The following is a 19,633-nucleotide window of genomic DNA, read 5'->3' as shown; positions in this document are numbered from 1 at the left end:
AAACCTATGAGATTAACAGCAGATTTCTCAGTAGAAACCCTACAAGCTAGAAGGGATTGAGGTCCTATCTTCAGCCTCCTCAAACGAAACAATTATCAGCCAAGAATTTTGCATCCAGTGAAACTAAACATCATATATTAAGAAAAGATACAATCTCTTCAGTACAAACAAATGCTGAGAGAATTAGCCACTACCAAGCCACCATTACAAGAACTGCTAAAAGGAACTCTAAATCTTGGAACGAACCCTGGAAACACAACAAAACAGAATCCCTTTGAAGCATAAATCACACAGGACCTATAAAACAAAAACACAAATTCAAAAGCAAAAACAAAACCCCAAAAAACCAAGGTACACAGGCAACAAATAGCACAATGAATGCAATAGTACCTCACATCTCAATACTAACATTGAATGTAAATGGCCTAAATGCTCCACTTGAAGATACAGAAATGCAGAATACATAGGAACTCACCAAACAGCTTTCTTCTGCCTTAGGGAGACTAACCTAACACATAAGGACTCACATAAAGTAAAGGGGTGGAAAAAGGTATTTCATGCAAATAAACACCAAAAGCGATCAGGTGTAGCTATTCTTATATCAGACAAAACAAATAGCAGTTAAAAGAGACAAAGAGGAATGTTATATAATGGTAAAAGGCCTTGTCCAACAGGAAACTATCACAAACCTAAATATATATGCACCTAACACTGGAGCTCCCCAATTTATAAAACAATTACTAATAGACCTAATAAATGAGATAGCAGCACAGTAATAGTGGGGAAATTCAGTATTCCACTGACAGCACTAGACAGTGATCAGAAAGTCAAGAAATAAAAAATGGATTTAAACTATACCTTGGAACAAATACACTTAACAGATATATATAGAACAGTTCACCCAACAACCACAAAATACACATCCTATTCAACAGTGCATGGAACTTTCTTCAGGGTAGACCATATGATAGGCCATAAAACGAGCCTCAATAAATTTAAGAAAATTGAAATTGTATCAAACAGTCTCTCAGACCACAGTGGAATAAAACTGGAAATCAATTCCAAAAGGAACTTTCAAAACCATGAAAATACATGGAAATTAAATTGCTCCTGAATCAGCATTGGGTCAAAAACAAAGTCAAGATGGAAATTAAAAGCTTTACACTGAACAATAATAATGACACAACCTATCAAAACCTCTGGGATACAGCAAAGGCAGTGCTAAGAGGAAAGTTCATAGCCCTGAATGCCTGCATCAAAAAGACTGAAAGAGCACAAACTAACATGCTAAGGTCACACCTCGAGGAACTGGAGAAACAAGAACAAACCAAATCCAAGCCCAGCAGAAGACAGGAAATAACCAAGATCAGAGCAGAACTAAATGAAATTGAAAACAAAATCAATACAAAGGATAAATGAAACAAAAAGCTAGTTCTTTGAAAAGATAAATAAAATTGATAGACATTAGCAAGATTAACCAAGAAAATAAGAGAGAAAATACAAATAATCTCATTAAGAAAAGAAACAGGAGATATTACAACTGACATCACTGAAATACAAAAGATCATTCAAGGCTACTATGAACATCTTTATGCACATAAATTATAAAACCTAGAAGAAATGGATAAATTCCTGGAAAAATACAACCCTCCTAGCTTAAATCAGAAAGAATTAGATACCCTGAAAAGACCAATAACAAGCACAAAGATTGAAATGGTAGTTAAAAAATTACCAACAAAATAAAGCCCAGGACCAGACGGATTCACAGCAGAATTCTATGAGGCATGCAAAGAAGAATTGGTACCAATGCTTTTGAAATTATTACACAAGATAAAGAAAGAAGGAACCCTACCTAGTTTATTTTATGAAGCCAGCATCACTCTAATACCGAAATCAGGAAAGGACATAACCAGAAAAGAAAACTACAGACTCATATTCTTGATGAACATAGATGCTAAAATCCTTAACAAAACACTAGCTAACCTAATCCAACAACATATCAAAAAGATAATCCACCATGATCAAGTAGGTTTCATACCAGGGATCCAGGGATGGTTTAACATGGGCAAGTCAATAAATGTGATACACCACATAAACAGAATTAAAAACAAAAATCACATGAGCATCTCAATAGATGCAGAAAAAACATTCAACAAAATCCAGCATGACTTTATGATTAAAACTCTCAGCAAAATTGGCATACAAGGGACATACTTCAATGTAATAAAAACCATCTATAACAAACCCACAGCCAACATAATGCTGAACGGGGACAAGTTGAAAGCATTCCCTCTGAGAGCTGGAACAAGACAAGAATGCCCATTCTCACCATTCCTCTTCAACACAGTACTGAAGTCCTGGCCAAAGCAGTCAGACAAGAGAAAGAAATAAAGGACATCCAAATCGGTAAACAGGAAGTCAAACTGTTCCTGTTTGCTGACGCTATGATTGTTTACCTTGAAAACCATAAAGACTCCTCCGGAAAGCTCCTAGAGCTGATAAAAGAACTCATCAAAGTTTCTGGATACAACATTAATGTACACAAATCAGTAGCTTTTCTATACACTAACAGTGACCAAGCGGAGAAACAAATAAACAGGTCAACCCTTTTTACAATAGCCGCAAAAAAAATTAAGTACTTAGGAATATACCTAACCAAGGAGTCGAAAGACGTCTACAAGGAAAACTACAAAACACTGCTGAAAGAAATAGATGACACAAACAAAGGGAAACACAACTCATGCTTATGGATAAGTAGAATCAATATTGTGAAAATAACCATACTGGTAAAAGCAGTCTACAAATTCAATGCAATTCCCATCAAAATACCACCATCATTCTTCACAGAGTTAGAAAAAACAATTCTAAAATTTATATGAAACCAAAAAAGAACCCTCATAGCCAAAGCAAGACTAAGCAAAAAGAGCAAATCTGGAGGCATGACACTACTTGGTTTCAAACTGTACTACAAGGCCATAGTCACCAAAACAGCATGGTACTGGTATAAAAATGGGCACATAAACCAATGGAACAGAATGAGAACCCAGAAATAAAGCCAAATACTTACAGCCAACTGATCTTTGACAAACCAAACAAAAACACAGAATGGGAAAAGGACACCCTTTTCAACAAATGGTGCTGGGATAATTGGCTAGCCATATGGAGGAGAATGAAACTGTATCCTCATCTCTCACCTTATACAAAAATCAACTCAAGATGGATCAAAGACTTAAACCTAGGAGCTGAAACTATAAGCACTCTAGAAGATAACATTGGAAAAACCTTTCTAGACATTGACTTAGGCAAGGATTTATTTAATGACCAAGAACCCAAAAGAAAATGCAATAAAAAGAAAGATAGACCAGGCGCAGTGGCTCGCCCTGTAATCCCAGCAGTTTGGGAGGCTGAAGCAGGCAGATCACTTGAGGTCAGGAGTTTGAGACCAGCCTAGCCAACATGGTGAAACCTCATCTCTACTAAAAATACAAAAATTAGCTGGGCATGCTGGCATACGCCTGTAATCCCAGCTACTTGGGAGGCTGAGGTAGGAGAATTGCTTGAACCCAGGAGGCGGAGCTTGCAGTGAGCTGAGATAGCACCACCTCAAAAAAACCAAACCAAACCAAAAAAAAACCAAAACAAAAGCAAAAATATATAGTTGGGACTTAATCAAACGAAAGAGCTTTTCTTGGCAAAAGAAACAGTCAGCAGAGTAAACAGACAACCCACAGAGTGGGAGAAAATCTTCCCAACATATACATTTGACAACAGACTAATATCCAGAATCTGCAACAAACTCAAATCAGTAAGAAAAAAACAGACAATCCTATCAAAAAGTTTGCTAAGGACATGAATAGACGATTCTCAAAAGAAGATATACAAATGTCCAAAAACCATGAAAAAATGATCCACATCGCTAATGATTAGGGAAACGCAAATCAAAACCACACTGAGACCACCTTACTCCTATACGAATGGCAATAATCAAAAACTCAAGAAACGGTAGATTTTGGAGTGGATGTGGTAATCACGGAACACTTCTATACTGCTGGTGGGAATATAAACTAGTACAACCTCTATGGAAAACAGTGTGGAAATTCCTTGAAGAACTAAAAGTAGAACTACCATTTGATCCAGCAATCCCACTTCTAGGTATCTACCCAGAGGAAAATAAGTTATTATATGAAAAAGATCCTTGCACACTCATAGCAGCACAGCTGGTAAGTGCAAAATCGTGGAACCAACAGAAATGCCCATCAATCAACAAGTGGATAAAGAAACTGTGGTATAGTTGTACAATGGAATACTATGCAACCATAAAAAGGAACGAATTGACATTTGCAGCAAGCTGGATGAGATTGAATATTATTATTCTAAGTGAAGTAAGTAACTCAGGAATGGAAAAGCAAACATCATATGTTCTCACTGACATGTGGGAGCTAAGCTATGAGGACACAAAGTCATAAGAATGATACAATGCACTTTGGAGACTTGGGGAAAGAGTGGGAGAGGGACAAGGGATAAACAACTAAAAATACAGTGCAGTGTATACTACGCAGGTGTTGGGTGCACCAAAGTCTCACAAATCACCACTAAAGAACTTACTCATGTAACCAAATACATAAATAAATAAATAAATAAATAAATAAATAAGTAAATGGACAACTATCTGTCAGAAGTAATAGAGGCCACAGAGCAAGGGAATGACAACTTTAAAGGTCTAAAAGAAAAAAAAAAAAACCTGTTATTCTAGAATCCTAATCTAATGAAATGTCTTTCAAACATAAAGGTGAAATAAAGATATTTTCAAAATAAAATAATCCTCTAAAGACGGATACTTTTAATACTATTACATTGTCAATTATGATGCAAGATTATCCAAATAAGTTAACCCTTCAATATGTATTCCATTTTCTTAAACATTTTTGATAGTGATTTAATTAAATTTTGTATAAATACCAAGAATTGGTGTAAAATAACATTTCCAATGCCAAAATAAAATTAATCCCATGATGTGATGTTTGGTGGGTGAGGATTTCTTTACCTCATTTTGATAACTTGTCTAGGCATTATCTGCTCTTTTAATTACTAGGGCATGGAAGAGATTTTATAAAATTCTGATTTAGAAGGTCATGAACATTTTCCATATCACATCCTATGCATCAATCATTCAACACCCTCTTCAAATTGCATTTTCCCCAAGATACCTTCAAAGCCACAAATAATCTCTCACTCTCACCACATTGCAATTACTACCTCTCTTATAATAGTTGGCCATCTAAAACCTATTGATTTCACATGAGTAACTTGGATATTTGGTATGATTTAAGAGTCATTTCCATATTTATCATGATGTCTAGCACAGTATCATCTTTGTAGTAAATATTTAAAAGTGAAAATGATGACATTTAAAATATGTTCATTTGAGCATGTAAGCCTCAGATTTAAGTGTTCAGAAGAAGTCATTTCATTATGTTCTTTGAGCTGTTATCAGTTGATAAATTCAATCACAGAGGGAAAAATCCCTGATTCTAAAGAGTAATTTTGGCAGTAGAATGAATACAGTTAAGTAGGTTTCAAACAAAATACATCTTATTTGAAACCCATGTTGTATTTTGTTTCAAACCCTATGAGAGAGCTTTTATAAACATCTAAGTTTTTAGTTGCTTCAATAAAAAAGATAGTTTTTATTTAATGAGATTAGGTATACCAGCTTTGCAAATAATTTACATTGATAAGATAGACAGAGCTCAGCGTGAGATAAAATTACAGTATTTAGAAATCTAATTATCAGCTGTCATTGGAGTGTGTCTGATCTGGAAACATCATACATTTAAAAAAATGTAAAAGAGGCAAAGTTCTAGAGAGAATCATGCTTGTACAGTTTTAAGGGCCAGATTATGGATGCTGCTTCTTACCTCAGTTAACTTTAAGATGTGAAATGTTTCTGAAATGATTACTTACCTAGAAGTTACAAGGTATAAATGCCATGCTGATATGAGAGTGTGTTTCTTGAATCTGAGATAATAGATTTTTAAGTGAAATATGGGCTTACAGGTATTCCCTGGTGTCACAAAAGATACTGTAAAAAGAAGACTGTGATTGAGATTATTACCGTTTTCCAAAAGTCATTTTCCCCTACTTCTACATGATAGAGTTGAATAAGGATTGACTCTACAGCTAATGTTTCATGGCCTCTTTTCTGTCCAGATGTGGCCATGTGATTACATGCTGGGTAGCAGTATATGAATAGAAATGATGTGTTTCCCTTCGAATGCATGGTCTTAAAATGAATGTGGATATACTTTCCCTTTTTTTATTCATTCCTGCCACTCTAGGTACAGACTTCACAAAGAGTTGGATCAGTCATTTGGACAAAATGTGAAGACAAGAGTTGAGGATGGTAACATCCCTACCAGCCTAGACAATCTACCTCTGTATTGTTAAATTAAAATATATGGAACTGATATGGTTTGGATATTTGTCCCCTCCAAATCTCATGTTGAAATATGATCCACAATGTGAAGATGAGGCCTAGTGGGAGGTACCGAATCATGGGGGTGGATTTCTCATGAATGGCATAGTGCCATCCACCTGGTGATGAATGAGTTCTCTTGCTCAGTTAGATTATGCAAGTTCTGGCTGTTTACAAAAGTCCAGACCGCCCCTTCTCTTCTCCTGCTTGACTCTCACCATGTGATGTGCTGGCTCCTCTTTTGCCTTCTGGCATGATTGTAAGCTCCCTGAGGCTCTCACCAGATGCAAATGGCAGCACCATGCTTCCTGTACAGCTTGCAGAACTGTGAGCCAACTAAACTTTTTTTAAGTAAATTGCTCAGCCTCAGCTATTTCTTTATTACAATGCAAAAATAGACTAACATAGGAACTAGTATTGACTTCAAATTTAGCATGTCAGACAACTAGAGAAAAAGGAACTGATGACAAATAAAGCAGGAAAAATAGTATACAAAGGTGAAAAAATGAAAATCAGACTCTACCTTATATTACACAAACACAACACAGAAACAGAAGAGAGAGAGAAAGAGACAGAGGGAGAAAGGAATTAAGAATTTAAATGTGGAGTTGACAGTATTAGGAAGCAAAAATAAACTATAGTAGTTAAATTTGAATTTCAGATACATTTTTTGTATGGGCATTTTCCAAGTAATAGTCGGGTCATAATTACACTAAAAAGCTCTTTGTCATTTATCTGAAATCAAATATAACTCATGTCCTGTATTTTACCCAACCACTCTACTTAAATGTCAAAATAAAAATATTAAAACCCAAGAAATTATATATGTTTTTAATTTAGACATTGGGAAGTTTTCTTAAACCACACATAAAAAGCACTAACCTTAAAAGATTAACAAATCTGAATATTTTAAAGGTAAGAATTGACCATGAACACTTGAGCTAGAGTGAAGAAATAGAGCTAGAAAGTGGAAGGGGATAATTTCAATGGATATAACGCTCAAAAGTTTTAGTGTTCTAGTAAATGCTTATAATACATAAGGAAAAGAATAAAAATGGCCAAAAGTCCATAAACAGTCATTAAAGAGGAAATATGTATGGCTAATAAAAATAAGAAAACGATTCAATCCCAAAAGCAATCAGAAAAAAGCAATCAGAAAAAAGACCAAAATAAGTTACTATTTTATACTTATCAATTGACAGAATTGAAGCATTCTAAAAATACTAAGTCCTAGAGGGAATGTAAATCAATGTTTCAAATAATTGCTGACTTTCGGCAATCTGATGGGAGAGAAAATAGTTTCTTAGTGTCTTACTTTTTAAAATTCCAGGATTTGTGATTGAATTTGAGCATCTTTTCGTATGTGTAAGGGCTGATAACACACACACATACACATACTATATATGTCTATTTAAGTCTTTTTTTCTGTTTTCCATATTGTTACTGGTGGGTCTTTGTTCTTAGAGCTCCCAAGATGGTGGCAGCCGCTCCCAAGATGGCAGCAAGTCTTTTGTTCTCTGACTTGGGGTTCTTGGCCTCACGGATTCCAAAGAATGGAACCTTGGGCCATGCGGTGTTACAGCTCTATTAGAAGCCATGGATCACGGTAGAGAACCGTGGAACCCAGTGACTAGTGTTCAGCTCGATTAGGATGAACTTGGGCACTTAGCCGTGCAGGAACAATGGTGAGCCTTTAGCCCAATCGGGAGCAGCAATGGGCACCACGCTGGATCAGCAGCACAGTGGACACCCTGCCAGATCTGGAGGGGTGGAAGTCAACCGCCGGTCGGCAATGGCAGCAAAGAGCAGTGGTGGACAATGAGTGAAAGCTCAGCTTGAGCCTTAACAAACATGGACCAGAAGAGTGTGCAGTTGCAAGATTTAATAGAGTTAAACCAGAGCTCCCACACAAGGGGAGGAGACCCAAAGGGGATTGCAGCTCCCTGCTCGAATGCCTGGGTTTATATCACGATCATTGTCCCTCCCACTGTGCTCTCAGCCGATATATCATTTTGTGTCCGGAATTGGTGGGTTCTTGGTCTCACTGACTTCGAGAATGAAGCTGCGGACCGTCGCGGTGAGTGTTACAGCTCTTAAGGTGGCGCGTCTGGAGTTTGTTCCTTCTGATGTTCAGATGTGTTGAGAGTTTCTTCCTTCTGGTGGGTTCGTGGTCTCGCTGGCTCAGGAGTGAAGCTGCAGACCTTCGCGGTGAGTGTTACAGCTCTTAAGGCAGCACGTCTGGAGTTGTTCGTTCCTCCCGGTGGGCTCCTGGTCTCGCTTGGCTCAGGAGTGAAGCTGCAGATCTTCGTGGTGAGTGTTACAGCTCTTAAAAGCCATGTGGACCCAAAGAGTGAGCAATAGCAAGATTTATCGCAAAGAGCAAAAGAACAAAGCGTCCACACTGTGGAAGAGGACCCAAGCAGATTGCCACTGCTGGCTAGGGCAGCCTGCTTTTATTCTCTTATCCGGCCCCACCCACGTCCTGCTGATTGGTAGAGCCCAGTGGTCTGTTTTGACAGGGCACTGATTGGTGCATTTACAATCCCTGAGCTAGATACAAAGGTTCTCCACGTCCCCATCAGATTAGTTAGATACAGAGTATCCACACAAAGGTTCTCCAAGGCCCTACCAGAGCAGCTAGATACAGAGTGTCGATTGGTGCACTCACAAACCCTGAGCTAAACACAGGGTGCTGATTGGTGTATTTACAATCCCTGAGCTAGACATAAAGGTTCTCCAAGGCTCCACCAGACTCAGGAGCCCAGCTGGCTTCACCCAGTGGATCCCAAACCGGGGCTGCAGGTGGAGCTGCCTGCCAGTCCTGTGCCATGCGCTCGCACTCCTCAGCCCTTGGGTGGTGGATGGGACTGGGCACCCTGGAGCAGGGGACAGTGCTCGTCGGGGAGGCTAGGGCTGCACAGAAGCCCACGGAGGTGGGGGAAGGCTCAGGCATGGCGCCCTGCATGCCTTCCCCGCGGGAAGGCCTGCCCCGCGGGAAGGCAGCTAAGGCCCGGCGAGAAATTGAGCACAGCGCCGGTGGGCGGGCACTGCTGGGGGACCCGGTACGCCCTCCGCAGCCGCTGGCCCGGGTGCCAAGTCCCTCACTGCCCGGCACCGGCAGGGCCGGCCGGCTGCTCCGAGTGCGGGGCCAGCCAAGCCCACGCCCACCCGGAACTCCAGCTGGCCCGCAAGCGCTGCACGCAGTCCCGGTTCCCACTGGTGCCTCTCCCTCCACACCTCCCTGCAAGCTGAGGGAGCCGGCTCTGGCCTTGGCCAGCCCAGAAAGGGGCTCCCATAGTGCAGTGGTGGGCTGAAGGGCTTCTCAAGTGCCACCAAAGTGGCAGCCCAGGCAGAGGAGGCGCCGAGAGCAAGCGAGGGCTGTGAGGACTGCCAGCATGCTGTCACCTCTCAATTTGACTATTTCTTCACCTCCTGATTTTAGCCTAATTTGTATTTTAGTGAGCCCTCTTTACTACCTGATTGGTCGGATGTGATCTGAGTTACAAGCCCCATGTTTAAAGGTAGGTGAGGTCACCTTCCCCAGATAGGCTTAGGAATTCTTAGTTGGCACAGGAAATCCAGCTAGTCTTGTCTCTTAACATGGCATCTGGTTCTGTGCTTTCACTTTTGTTTATATTAAATCATGCGTATATTCACTGCCATCCAGTGTGACTCCGAGTCTTAAAACCAAGGCTTTGCCACGTTATTCTACACAGAAATACCTTTTATTCTCATTGTTACCAATAAAAATGTTTTCATATTAATCAATTCTTTAAAAATGTATTCAATTATCACTACACTACAGTATTTTGAAGAACAAACAAAATAAGAGCAACCTACATTGATCTGCCTTTTTCTACATTTCCAGCTTCAATTGGTATCTTTCACTTTGCAACTTAAAACCAATGCTTTGTATTGTTGCTAAAATATTTACTGGTTCTCCAATTAGATTTCATGCTTATAGAATACCAGTACTCAACCTTTAAGTGCTTGAGATGCACATTGGAATAATGGAATTTTGTGTGTCAAACTGAAAGGAATTACAATGTAAACAACTGTTTGAAAAATCAGTTCAGAGAATATCATAAATATCTTGCTTAAGTATCGTGTTGTTCACTTGGTTACCTTTCAGTGCTCTACTACCTTTGAGTAAAACATAGCTTATTTGTACTGCATTTCCTTAGGTACTCATGGAAGTATTTCCTGGTTCTTGCTTGATATTATGCCTCACTTCTTATTTCCAGCAAGTTATATTTTACTCTATTTCTCTATATCCTGGTGTTTCTGGTTTTAGCAAACATTTACACATTTAAAAAATTTGACTTTACACTTGCGAAGGCTTCACAAATAAAATGAGTCTGACAAACTTAGAAGTCAGAAAATCTGTATTTTCTGGTCAGAATGACTTGCTGATAAACTGAATACTGGGGAGAAGGCAAAGAAAGAAGAAAAATAACCTCTCTTAGAGATTATTTTATGTTTTCACTATTTTTGAGTTCAGCATTCAGAACAAGGTTATTTTTGAAATATTATATGTCAAAGTTGCATGAAATCAGAAATCACATTTCAATGACTTATATGACACTGATCTACAATAATAGTTTATTTTAATTTGTTTTTTATTACTTAATGCTTACATCTAAAATAACTTTACAAAGCATTTTGGAAACATAAATATCTATAATCTTGAACTGTGTATTGTTTGACACTGACATATGGAAATCTGAGTCTCTAAGATAGTTTATTCATTGCTACCATGTAACTGACAGTTATTTATACTTAAAGCACACTAAATTAACTTATGTGTGAAAAGACAGTGAGAAATGATCTAAAATCTCAAAAGGATAATAAAATAATGATAAGGAAGTTACAGCCAGGCATCAGGACCTTCCTGTAGTTTTCCCCAGATATCCTCATTATTAGAGGCCCAAACTCTGAAAAAGGAAGGATGTTAATAGATCCCTGAGAATAACCTGTTTGTTCCCTCGTAAACTCTGTGAGCAAGTAACAATCTTATCATTCCACACTCAAGAGATGTTTAACACAGACCAGGACAATCAAGACGGTACAGATAGATTTCCTCTTCTTTCAGTGCGGTAGCCCTGAGGTAGATCCCCATTTTAACGCTGGGTAAATTGTTAGCAAATGGTAAAACTCAAACTACACCTATCTTAGAAATAATATTTATTTGTCTCCAAGTGAGTTTCTGAGAAGCACAAGTTTGGCAGAATATAATTCTATGTGATCAAATGCCTTTGAATATTTTATAAACTGAATAAGTGAGACACAAGAATAGCGGTAATTATTTTTAAACCTGTAGTATCAGTTCCTGAAATAATATCTTCTAATTAGGATACTACAGGTGAATATTTAGCACAGTTATAGAATGCAAAATGAAAATATTTGTAAACATTCAATTATTTGCCTCATTCAGTTGGGAAAATTGAAAATTGAGTTACAATAAATTGCGTAGTCGTTTTATATTAACATTAGCAAAAGTGCTTACAGAAAATTATACCTAAATGTAATTCATAAACCACAGAAACAAAAGGTTTATTACTGGAAGGAATGTAAAAGATAATCCAGTTGTAAAGCAAATATTCAAGGATTTAAAGTGAAATGTTCCCATGATATAAGTGAAGCAACTGAGGCTGAGAGAATTTGTGATTTCCCAACAACATAGAAAAGTATGTTTAGTAGTTCTACTTTAAAATTGTTTTTAAGTTTATGTGTAAATTTTAGGGAACAAAACAAGCTGTTTACATTTTATCTTACTTTTTGAAATAAATGTGATAGTGCCCATAAATTATAGCCATATCAAAATGTTATCAATACAATTAAGCAAGTCATATGAAAGCTGTAATTTCAATTTGTTACAACATTAAATTGGATCATAGTATATTATAGGATATCCTTTTTTCCAAACAGTTTATTAATTTGTTTCAATTATTAGGTATCTTACCAGTTGTATTCTAGAGTTGTCTTGGGAAGCAGGTGGTTGATATATATACTCAGATTAAAAATGAGCTTCTTATTATACTAGTTAATTCTGGCCCTTTCATCTGTGTTGACTGCCCTTAAATTTGACAAATATGCTTAAATAAATAAAAAAAATACATTATTCTCAATAAATATCTCCTGGGCCTTTGAGGGGAAAATCAGAAAACCTAGAATAGCTTCGTAGAAAAAAAAATTTTAAAAATGAGGAAGACAATTAATTTGTCAGACAACATTAACTATTTTTATTTTTTTTCATTTATTGCAGGTAAAATGGTCACTGAGATTACACAATTTCTAGAATTGTCTCATTCAATGTGGACACATTACTAAATTCTGCCTAATGCTATCTAAAGCAGAAATGTTCTGCAGAAGCTTTCCAAGTGTTCCTTGAGAAAGGGTGCTAATATTCAGCCCCAGGCCCTTCTTAGCTATGCTTTTCTCCATTCTAGTTCCCACGACATAGATATCTGTCTACAACTTAGTCCACATGAGTGATCCAAAGATCACCCTAATTATATTTTTAAAAGAAAAAAAGAACTGAAAAGAGCCTGAGTGCCCGAGTTCATAGAATAGAATAGAACAGAATAGAATAGAATAGAGTACAAACTAGCTCTTGATTGCCTATAGATTTTCATATTGTTTATGCTACTGTTATTTTGATTATTTCTCACAGCTAAGCTTTAAATAATATAAACAAATAGTCATTTGCACATAATAAAAGTGGAAGGACAAGAAAAGGAGAAATAAAGTCAGAGAAAATAGGAACTTATTTAAAGTTGATCTGAACTTTATGCTAGAATGGCTCCCTTTACATAATCAAGCAAAAATATTACCCTCAAAAGCACACAGCTGTGTCTTTCTACAAATTTGTCAAATGGCTGAAATTCCCACGATAAAAAATAAACACAGAAAATCTACCAAAAAAATACTGTTGTGAAGCATAATAATTCAAACAAAACCCACAAAAAGAAAAGTAATAAATTTAATGCCTAAAAAATATAAGAGCACCCACAAGGAAAAAGGTTATCCAAAGCAAAATCAAAAGATTTAAAAAATTGCAACATATGTGACAAACATTAATTGTCTTAATGAACAAAGAGTTCACACAAAAATATAGAAAATGAGTGATCCACATCTAATTATAAAGATAACTACAAAATGTTAATCAGCATAAATCCTTAACCTAACTTATAATTTAAAAGATAAGAAAATATAATTAATGAAAACCCTTTTGTCTTTCAGGTTCTCAATGATGTAAAATTTTGATATTATTTATTTTGTGGCTCATGTTGGTTAAATGGATACTCATATATTATTCCTTGCAGTGGAAACTAATGTAACATAGTTGAAAGAAATTTGGTAATAAATACTAAAATTTAAAGTATATGTGCTCTTTTACCCCCCAAATCTTACTTCTAGACTGCTACCTTGTAGATATATATTTATACCATTATGCAAAGATGCTCTTGGTAAGGATGCTGGTAAGGTCTGAATGTTTGTGTCCCAAAATTTATATGTTGAAATCCTAACCCTCAAGGTGATGGTGAGGAGGTGGGGCCCTTCGGCGGGTCATGAGGGTGCAGCCCTCATGAATGAGATTAGTGCCTTTATAATGGAAGCTCCAGAGAGCTGCTTTGCGCACTCCATCCACTATGTGAGAACACAGCTAGACAGCACTCTCTATGAGGAAGCAGGCCCTCGCCAATTACTGTCACTGTCCTGATTTTGGACTTCCCATCCTTTAGAATTGTGAGAAATAAATTTCTGCTGTTTATAAGGTACCCAGGCTAAGTGTTTAAAAAATACATATTTTATAATGGTAAATTTTGTAAATGCAATAAATAAGGCAATATGAAAGCTATGTAATGCGTGAATAGTTTTGATTGGGTGTTCACGGAAAACTCTTCTGAGAAGATGATAATTCAGCTGAAAGCTAAAGGATACCATGAAGGAGTCTCTGCAATGTTTGAGGGTAAGCTGTTCAAGATCAGAGCCAGTTGATCTAATAAAGAATAGTTAATGTTGGTTTCAGTAAGTTTTCTACCCTGGTAAAAAATAAACAAGCTAGGTCTTTCAAACAGAACTGAGATTTTAAGGAAAATTAAGGGTTTTAAAAATTTTAGAGGAGTAGGCTCTAATCTGGCTTTCTAGAAATGGCTACCAGTGACTTGGCCTGCAAGGGGAGCTATGAGTTTTGAGATTACCACTGGATTTGCTGAGTTTCAGCACATGCTGCCAAAGCTATTATGCAGCGAGTCAGGGTAAGTTACACAGGTGCCAATGCTCCACATTCAGAAGGGTGGTAAACAGACACTGAAAAAAGAAATTTAGCCACTGCCTCCCCCACATCTGCCTCTCAACATCCAGGAAATTGGAGAATGGACACTTGAACATGGCTGTGAGAATGCTTTGAATTCTCAAATTTGCTTGACAGAAGGAAGAGGCCAAGTTGGCAAGAAGATGCCTACCTACTGTCACACTACCTCCCAAATGTTTGCACAAGTACATCTGATTAGCATTCCTGATATTCATCCAGAAACACAGCCGGAAGGAAATCCAGGAAATGTCGTTTTTAACCCTCCTTGGTTTAGAGAAAGAAGGCAATTGTGGTTGGCCAAGCCAGTTATGGTACAGGGATAAAGTTTTATGAAATCAGACTAAAAAGGTAAAGGTTGACTCAGATAGGGCCACTTAGGTCATGGCCAGGAGTCAGAATTGTATTCTAGGCACAATGGAAAGACACTGGAATTGTAAAACTGGGAGAATATTTACTCTGTTTTACATTTTAAAATATTTGTTTATGTGCAGTATATAGATTAGATTGTGAATAGAGAGAAAGGAAGGAAATTATGTCTACAACTATAGTATAGGTGAGAAGTGACAGTGGCTTTAATTATAGAGACAGTCAATAAGGTAGATAGATTTAGAATACATTTTGAGGAAAACCTAATGGCACTTGCAGATTAATTGGATATGGGCCGAGGGAGGTGAGGCAATGACAAAACATTGGAGCCTTAAGTTTGTATTTGAGTAACAAGGTACATAATGCTATCATATACTGTCATGAGACAGAATGTTGTTATTGGGAGTTTTCAGCAGAGTTCTGTTTGGACTGTGAAAATTTTGAGATTTCAAGTACATTCTGATGTGTAGTATGGAGCTCAATATAGATGCTAACATTGGAAATAGAATTTTGGAAGTCATTTGGATAAGAAGTGATATCTAAAGCCATTGGTTTACTGGGTATTATTCAGGAAGAGGGTATAGATAGAGGAAGACAGGGAACAATTATCCAAGGCTGATTCAATATTAAGTAGAATTGCAGACATGACAGTAGGTTAAGAAGAATTAGTCAGAAGTGTCGTGAAAGTCTGGAGTAGAGAGTGTTTCAAGAAGGAAAGAATAATCAACAAATTAGTCATTGTATTACCATATGGTAGGTTTCTATGCAGTTCTTAAAATAAATGGAGCAAATCGATATATGTTTATATATAAAAAACTTCAAATAACATTATTAAGTGAGAAAATGCCTTTGTATTAATCTCCTGTGTGAACAAAATATGCTTGCATTTTCATATATATAATATTTATAATAACAAGATTCATCAATAATAATAGTAACAATGAGGAACTATCACATGGGTTGACTCATTGCAACTCATATACACATTGGAATGTCCTGATTTATAAAATTTTTTCTTTGTTAGAAATAGTTCTGCAAGTCTCTGAGAGACCTGTAAGGATCTAGGACTCTTGAAAAATAAGTGATCAGATACCCTGGTGTAGTGAAAAAAAAAAAATATATGGAATTTGAATCCTGGCTTTGGGGCTTTCTAGCAATGTGCCTTTATCCAGTAACTTAGACTTATGGAACCAGAAAATGACAGAAAAAAGAAACGTATTCAATTGTACTTTTTAGTCATGTAATTGTAAAATAATAGGGTATGTTTCATATAATTCTTATTCATTAAGAAGCAAAACAAAACAACAATGATAATATATTAATAGCAAAAGTGATGATGATGATGGAGGTTGTGGCAGCAACAGCAGCAGCAAAAGCTTCCCTAATATCTCTTCTGTGTAAGGGTACTGTATTAGTCTGTTTCACACTGCTGATAAAGACATACGCAAGACTGGGAAATTTAAAAAGAGATAGGTTTAATTGGACTCAGAGTTCCACGTGGCTGAGGACACCTCACAATCACAGCAGAAGGCAAGGAGAAGCAAATCACATCTCATGCAGAATGTGGCAGACAAAGACAGTGCTTGTTCAGGGCAACTTCCATGTTTTAAAACTATCACTTCTCATTAGGCCCATTCATATCACGAGAACAGCATGGCAAAGACCCACCTCCTTAATTCAATCATCTCCCACCAGGTCTCTCACAAATGTGGGAATCATGGGAGCTATAAGACGAGATTTGGGTGGGGACACAGAGCCAAACCATATCATTCCAACCCTGGCCCCTCCCAAATCTCATATCTTCACATTTGAAAACCAATCATGCCTTCCCAACAGTCCCTCAAAGTCATTAACTCAAAAGTCCGCACTCCAAAGTCTCATCCAAGACGAGGTAAGTCCCTTCCACCTATGAGCCTAGAAAATCAAAAGCAAATTAGTTACTTCATAAATACAATGGGGATACAGGCATTGGGTAAATATGGCCATTCCACATGGGAGAAATTGGCCAAAACAAAGGGGCTGTAGGCCCCATGCAAGTCTGAAATCCAGCAGGCTGTCAAATCTTAAAGTTCCAAAATGATCTTTTTTGATTCCATGTCTCACACCCAGGTCACGCTGATGCAAGAGGTTGGTTCCCATAGTATTGGGCAGCTCATGAGCTGGGGTTGAGTGTCTGCAGCTTTTCTAGGCACATGGTGCAAGGTGTCAGTTGGTCTACCATTCCGGGGCCTGGAGTGTGGTGGCCCTCTTCTCACAGCTCCACTAGGCAGTGCCCCAGTAGGAACTCTGGGGGCGGGGGGCTCCAACCCCACATTTCTCTTCTGCACTGCTCTAGCAGAGGTTCTCCATGAGGACCCTGCCCCTACAGCAAACCTCTGCCTGGGCATCCAGGCATTTTCATACATCTTCTGAAATCTAGGTGGGGGTTTCCAAACCTCAATTCCTGACTTCTGTTCATGCACAGATTCAACATTGTGTAAAAGCTGCCAAGGTTTGAGGCTTGCACCCTCTGAAGCCACAGATTGAGCTCTGTGTTGGCCCCCTTCAGCCATGGCTGGAGCAGCTGGGACACAGGGCACCAAGTCCGTAGGCTGCACACAGCACAGGGACCCTGGGCCTGGCCCATGAAACCACTTTTTCCTTTTAAAACTCTGGGCCTGTGATGGGAGGGGCTGCTGCGAAGGTCTCTGACATGCCCTGGAGACATTTTCCCTATTTTCTTGGTGATTAACATCCTGCTCCTCATTACTTACGCAAATTTCTGCATCCCACTTGAATTTCTTCTCAGAAAATGGGATTTTCTTTTCTATCACATTGTCAAACTGAAAATTTTCCAAACTTATGCTCTCTTTCCATTTTAAAACTGAATGCCTTTACCAGTACCCAAGTCACCTTTTGAAAGCTTTGCTGTTTAGAAATTTCTTTCGCCAGATACCCTAAGTCATCTCTCTCAAGTTCAAAGTTCCACAAATCTCTAGGGCACAGGCAAAATGCGGCCAGTTTCTTTGCTAAAAATAACAAGCGTCACCTTTGCTCCAGTTCCCAACAAGTTCCTCATCTCCATCTGACACCACCTCAGCCTGGACATTATTGTTCATATCACTATCAGCATTTTTGTCAAAGCCAGTCAACGAGTCTCTAGGCAGTTCCAAACTTTCCCACATTTTTCTTTCTTCTGAGCCCTCCAAAGTGTTCCAACCTCTGCCTGTTATCCAGTTCCAAAGCTGCTTCCACATTTTCAGGCATCTTTTCAGCAATGCCCCACTCCCAGTACCAATTTACTGTATTAGTCTGTTTTCATGCTGCTGATAAAGACATACCCGAGACTGGGCAATTTACAAAAGAAAGAGGTTTAATGGGACTCACAATTCCACATGGCTGGGGAAGACTCACAATCATTGTGGAAGGCAAGGAGGAACAAGTCACATATTAATTACATGGATGGTGGCAGGCAAAGAGATAGCTTGTGTAGGACAACTCTCATTTTTTAAAACCATAAGATCTGGTGAGACCCATTTACTATCGTAAGAACGGCACAAGAAAGACCTACCTCCATAATTTAATCTCCCACTAGGTGGCTCCCACAACATGTGGGAATTATGGGAGTTACAAGATGAGATTTAGGTGGGGACACAGAGCCAAACCATATCAGGTACCAAAAAAGTAACTTTTTCCTTGGGTGCTTTCTAACTTTGTAAATTCATTTCTTCAAAACCACTTTTTTCTCTCTTTACCAATATCAACTCATTGAACTAATACCAAAAGTGAAAACAACAAAGAAACAAAAACAAGTAAACAAAAAAAAAGAAATAGATAAATTGGAACTGCTATGAATTAAATGTCTCCAAATTCAGGAGAGCTTTTAGCTTTTCTTGACAATTCTTGAAATTATTCTGCTCATTGGTTTTTTTTCCCCAATATTCTCAATACTTTCTAAAATCTTAGCACTGCACCTCCAATCTGTCTCCATTCACTCTAAATAGACTACTTTCTTACAACTTTGTAGAAAATTGAGGACATTAACAGTGATCATCTATATTGCCCCACCCACATAGAAGAGGATATCCAAAATCAAATGGGAAAAATTAAAAATTTTTCCAGAAAAAAATGGAGAAGCATCATATTTACCATCTAAAACTCTAATCCTGTCTCTCCACTTAGCCCTTCACCCCATGCCATCTGGACTCATGAGAGTTCATTTCTTTGTTCCTGCCCATCTCTCACCTATACGCTCATTACTTCCTAAGCCTACTTGAGAGCTTCCTGCCTTCACGGCCAAGGGTTACAAGCTCTATAAAAAGATTGCCCTCCAGTTTGTGAAAGGTGGCATAAAAGGCTGGATTCCCAACCTCCCTTTCAGAAATCAACTCAAATGGAAGTAAACATTTTTTCAGATAAAATAATCAAGCAAAGAGCTATCTAAAATTTATCTATTCAACAGAGCAATACAATGTTGCCAGACTGTGTGAAAGAAA

General features: G+C 37.9%; 1 long non-coding RNA gene across 1 annotated transcript in view; it reads right to left on the bottom strand.

Annotated features, from left to right (window-relative positions):
- The window catches only part of NRXN1-DT (NRXN1 divergent transcript), a 1,375,317-nt gene that overhangs the window by 391,415 nt on the left and 964,269 nt on the right, over positions 1-19,633 (bottom strand). The window lies entirely within an intron of this gene.

This window comes from Homo sapiens, chromosome 2 (assembly GCF_000001405.40).
Source record: "Homo sapiens chromosome 2, GRCh38.p14 Primary Assembly".
NCBI lineage: Eukaryota > Metazoa > Chordata > Mammalia > Primates > Hominidae > Homo > Homo sapiens.
Note: the sequence above shows the minus strand (reverse complement) of the source record. Positions and strands in the feature narration are given on the sequence as shown.